The sequence below is a fragment of the Homo sapiens genome, chromosome 20, assembly GCF_000001405.40.
Source record: "Homo sapiens chromosome 20, GRCh38.p14 Primary Assembly".
Taxonomy (NCBI): domain Eukaryota; kingdom Metazoa; phylum Chordata; class Mammalia; order Primates; family Hominidae; genus Homo; species Homo sapiens.
The window spans coordinates 62,442,670-62,454,526 of NC_000020.11; the positions used below are offsets into that span (position 1 = coordinate 62,442,670).

At 59.3% G+C, this 11,857-nt stretch overlaps 1 annotated feature.

The window, feature by feature from the left end:
- Positions 7,264-7,558: a silencer, noted in NCBI's record as "tiled region #3586; HepG2 Repressive DNase matched - State 12:CtcfO, and K562 Repressive non-DNase unmatched - State 10:DNaseD". NCBI's record gives its function as "represses a minimal TATA promoter and a strong SV40 promoter by Sharpr-MPRA in HepG2 and K562 cells {active_cell/tissue: HepG2 | K562}" and the evidence as "EXISTENCE:reporter gene assay evidence [ECO:0000049][PMID:27701403]".

Below are 11,857 nucleotides of genomic sequence, written 5' to 3' on the forward strand. Positions count from 1 at the left end.
TCCTGCATTTGTGGGGGCCAGAGGGGAAAGTGGGGCTAGTAGAACAGCTTGGACACAAGGACACTGCCCAGGAATAACCACATGTCTACCGTGGAAGATTTTAAATCCTGGGAAATAAATACACACCACCAATGAAGAAACAGTCACCCACAGCCGGCCACCCCCAGTTATACTACTACTATTTCCATTATATGTTTCCATGTGTATACATTTGTCTATGTATCTATGTGTCTATCTGCCAATCATCTATCTATTGTTACGGTTATAGTTATTTTCTTTTTCCTCCTTTTACAAAAATGGGGGGGTCATCTTGAGCTTCTCCATAAACTGCTTTCTTCACTTTCACAATATTTCATGGGTGCATTCTCTCATTTTTGAATTTCACGCTATCATTTTTAAAGCTGCCTAAAGTCGCATGGGATCAATGAGCTGCTCTGGTTGGGCACTGGGCTGTTTTCCCTTTTATCTGGGGGCCTCATAAACAACCCGGAATGAACATCTTCGTATGGACATCTCTAGGCACATCTCATCCGAGGTTATGTCTTGGGAATGCTCCCCAGAAGTCGAACCTGTGGGGGCTATGCCACATCCATTTCTTTCTTCTTAAATGAGACCTTGACTCCCTGGTGACGCTGTGCCCATTTCTAAGGCTGTCTACACACCGACATTTGCCCTGCGGGAGTCCTCTCCTTGACCCCCGTAGCAGACCCGAGATGATCTATTTCTACACATTCTCACCAGTGCGGGCATCACATCTTTTTCAACTTTGCCAGTTGCTGGGTAAAACAATATCTTACTTTAATTTGGGTTTCTTTTCTTTTCTTTTTTGAGACAGGGTTTTGCTCTTGTTGCCCAGGCTGGAGTGCAGTGGCGCAGTCTCTGCTCACCACAACCTCCGCCTCCCGGTTTCAAGCGATTCTCCTGCCTCGGCCTCCCGAGTAGCTGGGATTACAGGCATGCACCACCACGCCCGGCTAATTTATATTATTAGTAGAGACAGGGTTTCTCCATGTTGGTCAGGCTGGTCGCAAACTCCTGACCTCAGGTGATCTGCCCACCTCAGCCTCCCCAAAGTATTGGGATTACAGGTGTGAACCATGGCACCCGGCCCTTAATTTGGGTTTCTTAGATTACTTGTGAAGCCGACAACTTGTCATATTTATCAGTCACTTATATTTCTTTTTGGGTGAACTGCCTTCACATTGTCTGGTGTCTTTTTTCATGATGAGGTTTTCATCTTTTTCTTATTGATTTCTAAGAGCTCTTTATATTTTAAGGCTAATAATACTTTATCATATATGTTGCAAATGTTGTAGACCATTGATGTTTTCCTTCTCATTTGTTTGTAGTGTTGTGGACATGAGGGTAAACCTGGATGTAGACATGCCTGTCAATCTTCCCTTCCTCTGACTTCCAAACCGACCCTGGGACTCATGCTGGGGCAAGCTGGGAGTCCTTTGGGATTCCACATTGAGGCCAGTTCTTGAACAGTGTAGAGAAATCTGAGTGGGATATTGCTGGTCAACTCAAGGCAGGGCTGGGGCCCAGGGATGAACAGAGGTGGTGCCGGGTGTACAGCAGGTGTTTACACCATCCTTGTTGAATTAAAACACAGCTGGTAGGTGACCAGGAAGGGAGGCTAAAAAGGAAGAGCAATGAGGGAGGTGAGGAGCAATGAGGGAGGTGAGGAGCAATGGCCCATGACCACAGGTCTCAGGCTGGGGCGGCTGGGGGCTCAGCCCTGCCTGGGCATGGATCTCAATGTCCAATCTCACCATCTTGACTCAGCATTCTTTTTCCATCTGGTGAACTCCTACACGTCCCTCAGAACCCCGAGTGCTCGCTTGTCCCTATTCTTGCAGTGCTTCACCTGTGCAGGCCCCTACTGGAGTGGCCCCACTCAGTGATGAAACCGTTGCTCATAGCTGGGTGGTCCTGGGATGCCTCATCTGTGCAGCGGGGAAGGGGATGAACCAGCCCCTTCATCTCAGGGTTGGGATGAGGATTCAGGAGCTAACCGTGCAAAGGGCTTGGTGCCCCAGGGGATGGGAGAGGTGGATGGAGAAGCCACTCCCATACCTGCCAGCCACCAGTCCCCAGGCTGGGCCTCGTCCCCCATGCCTGGGGCAGGAGAAGGAGGGTGGAGGAAGGGAGCAGCCTGGCCAGCTTCTGGGGCTGTAGGGCTGGGGCTGATCAGTAGACCCGTCACTCAGAGTTTGATATTACTCATGGCTGTAAAAGTGATCCCCAGCATGCCTCGGGGGTTTCAGAGAGAATGTCCCACTAAGTGTAGCCCCTTCTCCAGCCTCTTGGCAACTGTGGCTGCTGGCACTGAGGAAGGAATCTTGGGTTCATCCCGGGCCACATGTGCCCATCCTGCTGTCTACAGCTGTAGCTGCGGCCACACGTGCACACCACCATGCCCAGATCATTCTTTTGTATTTTTTTGTAGAGATGGGGTTCTGCCACGTTGCCCAGGCTGCTCTTGAACTCCTGAGCTCAAGCAATCCGTCTGCCTCGGCCTCCCAAAGTGCTGTGGTTACAGGCATGAGCCACGGCGCCTGGGCTCCTAAACTGATTTTTAATGACACGAGTAATACAGGAACACATTCTCCTTCTAAACAGAATTCTAACGGCGGGGGCCCTCGAGCCGCGGCATCATCCCAGCACCCCCAGCCTCACCGCGAGGGCCCTCGAGCTGTGGCATCATCCCAGCGCCCCCAGCTTCACCGCGAGGTGGCTGAGGTTCCCAGCAGGACATCTGTCCTTCTGGCCTGAGAGTCCGCTGTTGGGTGCCGGTCTCACCTGGCAGCAGGTTTCTCCATGGAGCAGTGAGACAGGAGGTTTCCTCAGCAGATCACCCAGAAACGGGGCTCTGCCATGGAGCCCCCGGACTGATGGGCTTGGGGGGCTTTCATTCTCCGCAGTGACAGGCAGGGCCGTGGGATCCTGCTCCACGCCTCTTCTACTCACGCCTTACGCTGAGCTGCCCAGGACACTCCCAGGGCTGTTTTACCCACACGAGGCACAGAGAAGGTAGTGGCCTGCTCAAGGCCACACAGCGAGGCTGCGTAGAGCTGCTGCTTGAGCCAGCGTGGCCTGGCCTGGGCTCCAAACGGCCTGCACCTGCCCTTCCCTGAGGACGGTGTTAGATGTAGGCACGCCACTCACCCATCCAGGTCTCACCTCCTGGTGTTTGGAGGACCCTAGGTGGGGTGGGGCCCGGGGGTCTGTGTTCACACTGCCCAGCAGCAGGGGAGGCACACAGTGGGCTCTGGACTGTGGGCACTTGCCAGCTATACTTGGGGACAGAGTGGGTCCTCCTCGGCACCCTCCATCATGTATTCACACACGGGTCATTCGCTCGTTCACACGCTGGCTCCTCTGCCCAGCATGTGCCATTTGCTCAGCTCAGCGTGGGCGGCAGAGGGGCACAGGTGGCGAGGGCAGGGCGGGGGCCGGGGGCCACAGGTGGTGAGGGCAGGGCAGGGCGGCAGAGGGGCACAGGTGGCGAGGGCGGGGCGGGGGCGGCAGAGGGGCACAGGTGCTGAGGGCAGGGCGGGGGCGGCAGAGGGGCACAGGTGGCGAGGGCGGGGTGGGGGCGGCAGAGGGGCACAGGTGGTGAGGGCGGGGTGGGGGCGGCAGAGGGGCACAGGTGGTGAGGGCAGGGCGGGGGCCCGGGGCCTGCTCTCCAGAGCCACACAAACCTGGCCAGATGGCTCCTGACTGGGACCTCCCAGGGCACATCCTCCTGTCCCTCCTTCTCTGTGCTCGCTGCCAACCACCACCCAAAGCAGCAGCCCCAGGAGGGACCAGGGCCCCCTCTTATCAGCAGCCTCCCCCAGGCCTGGCCGCAGCGTTCTCCCTGGAAAACCTGAGTCTCCACTCCCTGCTGCTGGCTCCCACCAGGCCCCTTCCTCACCAGGGGCATCAGCAGACGCCTCCGCCTGGCAGCAGACACCGGCACGACCCTCACCCCGCCTGGGTGGCCAAGCTGCTCTGGGGAGCTGGCTGGAAGACTACGTGGAAACCCCACCCCATCTATCACTGAGCCGGGGTCTGCCTGTGGGCCTGGGGGCTCTGACGGGGAAGGCTCAGCTTCTCTGCATGCTGACTCAGCCCTTCATCTGTGGGGCTGGAACGACAGCCACAGGGGTGTGGCTGGCCAGGGTTGAGATGGGGAGCAAAGCCCCTGTCCCCATTCCCTATCGGTTTCATGGAGGAGACTGAGGTGTGGTGTCCCAGACCCTCCCCTCCCCTCCTCCTGTCCCCTGGGGAGGTCACCAGGGGCAGCGTCCTGCCCCTGCACCCAGCTCTCTGTTCCCACCCATACCTTGGAGCCATGCGCAGCCTCCCGCCCACCCATGAAGATGTAGCCCTGGCCTCAACCCAGCCCGGGTCACCGCACATTTGTCCATGTGGTCGTTCATTCGTATAGCAACTACGAATAATCCTCTATAGCCTGGCGCGCCCTCGCCTGTGGGCTTGGAAATGGGGAATCGGGGTCCCGTGGAGCCATCTCCTCCGGCTCAGTGGCCCCAAGTCAGGCTGGCTGGTCCCTGCTGAGCTGTGGGGCCGGCGTAAAGCTCACGTGGACTGTGAATACCTGGGTCAAACGGAAGAACAACTCGCCACGTGTTATGCTGATAACGGGCTGAGCTGATGACATTTCCGACGCGCTGGGTTAGCGTACATCGTTAAAATAATCTGTTTCTTTTTCCTTTTCTTAGCACGGCCACTAGCACGTTTGAAGTCACACACAGGGTAGCGCCGGCCTGGACAGAGGCGGACATCTGACAAGCGGGCCAATGAGGATGACATCTCGGACGGTAGTCACTGCTACAACGAAAGTCAGTGCCCCACCTTGCCCAGCCGCAGGGTGGACCCTAAGCAGCTCGCCCCACCCAGCCGGTCCTGCCTGCTCTGTCCCTCCCAACCCTGCAATGGGCAGATTTCTGGGGGGCAGTCTCTGACCCACTGTGGCCCAGGTACAGAACCCCGCCTTCAAGTCTCTGGGCCTCAGTTTTCTCATCTGTGTGTTGGGGACAAAGACGCCGCCCGGCCATCTCACCAGGCTGCCGAGCAGCGTGGAAGAGCTCTGGCTGTGAGGTCAGAGGCCCTTTGTTTGAAAGGTCCAGGCCCATAGGGGTGCATGGGTTGTGGTCTTGGGTGATATTAGAAAAGCTAAGTCCTCTCTCCTGGGCAGATGACACCAGAGGGAGGGTGCGAAGGTGGTGGAGAGGCCGGTGGCCTGGTGTGGGCTGTCATAGGAAAGTGCCGCAGACCAGGTGGCCGAAACAGTGGAAATCCGTTGTCTTGCAGTTCCAGAGTTCACAAGTCCGTGTAATGGAGGCATCGGCCGGCCTGGTTCCTTGAGAGGGGGTGAGGGATCTGCTTCCCACTTCCGGCTTCTGGGGCTGTGCCGCAGTTTCTGCTGCTCTTCTGCTTGTGGAAGCATCATGGTCTCTGTCTTCACCTCACACCTGCTCCCTGTGCCCGTCTGTGCCCAATTTCCCCTTTTCTCAGGGCCCAGACATCTTAGATAAGGGCTCACCCCAACCTAGCATGACCTCATCTTAGCCAATTACGTTACCAGTGACCCTATTTCCAAATAAGGCCACTTCCTGGGGTGCTGGGGAAAGGACTTCAACGTGAAGTTTTGGGAGACACAGGTGCGCCCACATCACCAGGGGTGTGTGAGCATGATGAGCAGCTCGGGGCTCTGGACCTGTCTGCGGGAGCTCCGAGTCCCACGGCACTTGGAGCTGGTTGAGAATGGGGCTGGGAGCCCCAGGTCAGGTTGAATTGGTGCTGGGGACACATGTCTCGTCCCTGGTTCCCCCAGGCTTTATTATGACGCACAGTTTCCCGAGAAGCGGAGTCTGAGATGGAGACTTTTGTACAAGGGACTCACTGAGAGGTACTCCCAGGAGAAAGTGGGGGTGAGACGCAGGACTGGGGGAGCTGAGCTGGGAGGGGCTCTCAGCCACAGCCCAGCCACAGCCCCAGAACCTGAAACGCACCCCAGAGTCAGCCCCACTCACTCAGAAGGGGGGTCCCTGCACCCTCCTCTGGCAGCCATTGGCTGTGGTGGCCTCACAGGTGGGGCCCAGGGGTCTGTGTTCACACTGCCCAGCAGCAGGCGAGGCACACGGTGGGCTCTGGACGGTGGGCACTTGCTGGCTACACGTGGGGACAGAGCGGGTCCTTCCCTGCACCCTCTATTCATTTATCCACACAGGGATTAATTCGTTTGTCCACTCGCTGGTTCCATTCAGCACACCCCATTCGCTCAGCTCAGCGTGGGCGGCAGAGGGGTCAGAGGTGGTGGGGGCCCATGACCTCCTCTCTGGAGCTGCGCTAAACTGGCCAGCTGGCTCCTGGCTGGGGCCTCTCTGGGACTCATCCTCCTGCCCTACTCACCTCCCTCTGCCTCTGTGCTTGCTGCTGACCACCACCCAAAGAAGCAGGCATTTCTGGGCGAGGTGGGTCCCGGCCCCCTGTGGCCGAAGGTGTTCCCTGGGAATGGACAGCTGTGAGCAGGCGGAGCCACACACAGAGCCACCGACCGGGCTGTGTAGGTGAAGGAGCCACGTGGAGGTGTGCAGGAGGTGGAACACTTAGGACCCTTTCCCGTGGGCAGAGACCCAGTGCCGGGGGAGGCCTGGCTGGGTCGTACCCCCAGCCTCACCCTGGCTCAGGACACCGGCACCCAGAATCCTTGGGCCACTCCGAGCCCAGAGGCACCCAGGCCCTCCTTGAGCTACATGCAGCTTTAAAACACACATGTCCTTTGACCTCCTCCCACCCAGGGGGTTTCTCTGCTCTCTCCCCTTGAATCTGGCGGCCTCCACCCCGCCCCGACCCCACACAAATGAATGAGCGTCCCCAGCCTTCTCAGCCCTGAGCACCATCGCGGATGGCATTGCGGGCGCTTCTCCACCGTCTGCATCAGCCCCCGACAGACGGTCCCAGTGGGACTGTGTCCCTATTACCTGTGTGTCCCCATCCCCTGAGCGGACCCGGTCGACTCAGTGCCATGTGTACGATGGGTAAAGGATGAATTTGTGAAACATTTCAGATACATTACACTTGACACCATGTTAGCTCCACTTTCACCTTTTTCGGTTCTTAATATTCCAGAAGCCCCAGTAAGACAGAAGAGTCTTGGGCCCCGGGTCTGGGGAGGCACCCAGAGCCCTTCACGGTTTCTTGACTGTCCTCGGAGAGGCGCTGAGCTCCGGGGGCGCATCCAGCTCCCAGTGAATTCTGGCGGCCACTGAGGAAGCTTCTGCTGAGAGAATTAGGGAAAGGACCCCCCCAGGAGGGTCTTTGCTGGAGCAGACGCCCCGCATCACCACCTGCTGCCCATCCATCCTGGCCAGCGGCTCCCATACCCACTCCTGCCGCTGGGGGCTGACCGTGGCACCAACTCTTTTTTCCATGGAAGCTGCCCTTTGGTTTATGGTTGCTTCTTGTTTCTGGAACCTTTGTACCAGGATCCCTGCCCCTGTGCGTGGCAGAAGTCTCCAAGGTCATTCACCCCGGCCACGCTGCCTGGGGCTCCGGGACCGGCCACTCTTTCCTGACCACGTGGCTGTTCTTCACCATCCTGCCTGGCGGCTTGTCCCGCCAGGGCTGGCAGGGTCTTCAGGATAAGGCTGTGGCCCCCTGGGGTAGTTCCTCAGGCCATAGGGAGGACGCTCAGCGGGCGAGAGCTGTGAGCTGGATGGTGTGGACCTGACTGTGAGCAGCCACTCTCTGGGCTGGCAGACATCCCAGGGCGCTGGGCTGTAGCTTCTCCCTCATCACTAGCGGAGGGCGGCCTGCGGCGGAGGGTCTGGACTGTGTGGTCTGGGCCCTGCAGTCCCCATGGCTTCCCAGGCAGCCCCCAACCTCACTCTGGGTGAGACACTGGGGACTGTGCCCAGGGGGCAGGCGGCCTCTAAGTGCACAAGGTGATGTGCCCCTCCCACTTCCAATGTCCCAGGAGGGCGGAGTGAGCCCGCCTTGTGCTGGGCAGCAGTATGCAGGGGTGGCCGTGCAGGGCCAGGCAGGCACCAGGTGGACAGTCCTGCAGCGGAACAGGACGCCCCTGCCCGTGAGCATGTACTCCCTCTTTGTCCCAGGACCCCCCTCCATCCTCCTCCCAGGAGCCCCTCTATTGCCCTTCCAGGTCCCCCCACCCCTCCCAGAACCCCCTCCCTTTCCCTCCCAGGATCCCCTCATCCCTCCCAGGCCCTCTTCCTTCCTCCCCCAGGTCCCCTCCCAGAACCCCTTCCCTCCCCACCAGGCCTCCCTCTACCTCCTAGCTCACCCTCCCTCCCCTCCTCTCACCTCTGTCAGACCAACGTCCTGGAGATAAGAATAGCCTGTCTCCCTGGGGAGCTGACTCCCCATGACCACTGTGGTGGGGGGTCAAGGGGACAGAGTGCCTTGGCAAGGACCTGGAGACCCCTCGGGTCAGCCCTGAGCCCAGCTGACCTAGAGCAGCCACCAAGGGAGCTGAAGCCAATGCCTTCCCCCAGGTCAGACGGGGTCCCGCTCCGAGCCTCAGCTGTGGCTCTTCAGCACCCCAGGCCCACCTGCTCCCCACCCCAGCCCCTCCTCCACCTGGGGGAGGCCTGGTGGGGCCCAGGCCTGTGGGGTCCTATTTGGCCGGTGCCATCTTGGCATCATCCCCCAACACACGGTGGAATCAGGGGTCTCACCTGGGCCATGGGGGCCTGGGTGGTGACATTCTGATCAGAGCAGGTGGAGGCAGTGCAGGCTGTCCTAGGCCCCCCACCGCGCCCGGGCCTCACAGCCTCCTGAAGGATGAGCGCATGCATCTGGGGAGGGTGGGCCTTTGTGAGGGGAGAGAGAGGAGAGAGAAGAGAGAGAAGGAGAGAGGGAGAGAGGAAGAGAGGGAGAGAGAGGGAGAGAGGGAGGGAAACAGAGAGGGAGGGAAAAGGAGTGCGAGAGAGACAGAGAGGCAGGGAGGGGGGAGGGAGAGAGGGAGGGAGGATGACAGGAAGGGAGAGAAGGAGGAGAGGGAAAGAGAGGGAAAGAGAGAGGGAGGGGGAAGAAGAGGGAAAGTGGGGAGGGAGAGAGAGGGAGAGGAAGAGAGAGGGGGAGAGGAGGGAGAGAGAGGGAGGGATGGAGAAGAGAGAGGGAGAGGGAGAGAGAAGGAGGGAAAGGGGGAGGGAGAGAGAAAGAGAGAGAGGAGGGAGAAGGAGAGGGAGAGAGGGGGGAGAGAGATAGGGGAGGAAGAGAGAGGGAGAGGGGGAGGGAGAGAGGGAGGGAAAGGGGGAGGGAGAGAGAAAGAGAAAGAGGGAGAGGAGGGAGAAGGGGGGGAGAGAGATGGGGGAGGGAGAGAGAGGGAGAGAGGGGAGAGAGGGAGGGTGAGAGTGGGGAGAGGGAGAGGGGAAGAAAGAGAGAAGGAGAGCGGGGAGAGAGAGGGAGAAGGGGGAGGAAGAGAGGGAGAAGGAGAGAGAGAAGGAGGGAGAGAGGGAGAGGGAGAGAAAGAGAAAGGGAAGGAGAGAGGGAGGGAAGGAAAGAGGGAGGGAGAGAAGGAAGCAGAGAGGGAAGGAGAGAGGGAAAGAGAGAGGGAGGGAGAGGGAGAGAGAAAGAGATGGAGAGAGAGAGAGACAGAGAGAGATACATGGAGAGACAAAGAGCGGAGGAGGGCAGAGGAGAGCGGCCTGCCTACCTTGAGGAGGGCAGAGGGTGGAGACTAATTTGCACCTTAGTCGTGCCCTCAGGCTGTCCCTGTGAGAATGCCAGGGTGGTCCTAGCACCCAACACCCCAGCATGGCAGGCCCAGGTGTCTCTCGGGCTCAGGTTTGCCTCAGGCCCCCCTGGCTCTAGGAAGCCCCCAGCCCTCCTCAGTCCTTCTCCTCAGCCTTCGCTGTGCCCAGGTTGTGTGCCTGGGAGGTGGGTGTCCGTGTTATTCTAGGGATGCTGCTGTCCTTTGGGGGTGACTTCTTACTGCCTCCACTTTTCAAAGCAGGAAACTGAGGTTCAGAGAGGTTCAGGGCCTGCCTGAGGCCACACAGCAATTACCAGCAGAATGGTGCAGGCTCTGGAGCCTCTTTGGATCTCCACCCAGATCACCCTCTGGGGCCTCGGGCGGGCGGGGCTCCTCCGTAGGTCCCTGTGATGCAAACGCCTGGGGAGGAAACGGGACCATTTTCCAGGCACGGGTCAGGGTGCCGGGGAGGCAGGCTGGGCGGGATGTGCTGGGAGCTGGAAAGGCCCCGGGTTGGGTCGGAGTCAGGGCAGATCTGGGTGTGGCTGGGGCTGCGGAGGAAGTCTAAGGGAGCAGGGAGCCCTTTATTGCACTGCCTCGGTGACATTTCACCTGCCCTGTGCTAAGTGGGGATAACTGGTCACCCGCCTGGCTGTGCTCACACCCTCAGGCCAGCCCACGGCAGCCCCATGTGGTCCCTGGCCCACGGACTGGCTGCCCTTCCCTGGGGCTTGGCCACTGAGGCCCTTGCAGGAGCCCTCGAATGGGACCCCCGGTGGGGACTGTGTGGTCCCAACTGCCCAATGGGGCTCTATGGAGCACCTGCTGTATGCCAGGCCCTGTACAGGCCCCTTCGTGTGGTAATGAACATGGTCTGCACGGGACTCATCCTCCTGGGGCTGGGATTCAGTGACAACTGCAAACTGCCAGCGACACCAATAGCTAAGGAGTCGTGAGGGTGGCTGAGCTCCGGGAGGGGCGCTGAGGGCCACGCGGACCCACATTGGCCTGGAAGGATGATGGGACCCACGGGGTGGGGGACACAGCCAGGCAGAGGGCGCCCAGGTGGGAGAAGTGTGGAGCCCTGGCCTGGGCATGTGAGGGTGGGGAGGTGGGGGGTGAGCTCGGGGGTTTTGTGTGAAGCAGGTGGGCAGAGCCTCGAGGGCCACTGGGGCGGGAGTCTTGGAGGCCCTGAGGAGCCCTGGGGACTTTGTGGGAAGGGAGTGGGCAGATGGCAGCGTGGAATTGGTGGGGAGAGAAGGACACCGCCAAGGTTGCCCAGACGGGTTTGCAGACCCCAGGGCAGGGGGGTGGGGTCAAGTGAAGGAACTGTCACCCTCTCTGGAGGCAGGTGCGGCTGACATTGGCTGCCTGGGGACACCAAGGACAGCCCCAAGGTCCTATGGGGTCACATAGAAGTCCTGCTGCCTGAGTGGGGAGCGAGGTGGAGGCTGATGGCAGGGACCTCCCGTGGGCCTGGGGGCCAGGACAGAGGCTGCCCTGTAATGATTCCTGACCTTCCCTGAGCACTAGCCATCAGTGGTTCCGGGGTAGACCCTGCTTTTTTTATTTTTCCTTTTTTTTGGGTCTGTAGCTGGATTTAACTGTAAAGAGCAATAAATTACAAATCTGGAAAAACATCCCTTGTCCCCACAAAGGACACAGCTGTCCCCAAATGACAAATGGCTCTGAATTAACATTATTTAGTATTTATAACTTCCGCCGGACAGAACTTACAGATGTTACTGGCAAATCCTGCCTGCCTTTGGGGTATTTTTAGAGCCTATTGTCCATCCTTACGAGGTTCCTCTAACCTCGTCTCTACCAAGGAGGCAGCGTGCACTGTCTGGGCCCAGAGGATGGGCCCGGGGTGCCCCCAGCTCCTCTGCAGAGCTGGAGCGGTCCTGGCATTTGTGGGCACATTCATCCATCTGCAAGGAGACAGAGTGCGGGGAGAGGGCAGGACCCCCGGTCTTGCTCTGGGGCAGGCTGAAGGAGGGCTGAGCAGAGCTGAGGCCAAGTGGCAGCCCCACCCGTGGAAGGGGATTCAGGAGTAAAGGCAGCAAGGATGTCTCAGGGACTGGACGAGTGGCCAACACTGACCGTCAGGCGGGCACATGGCTGGGA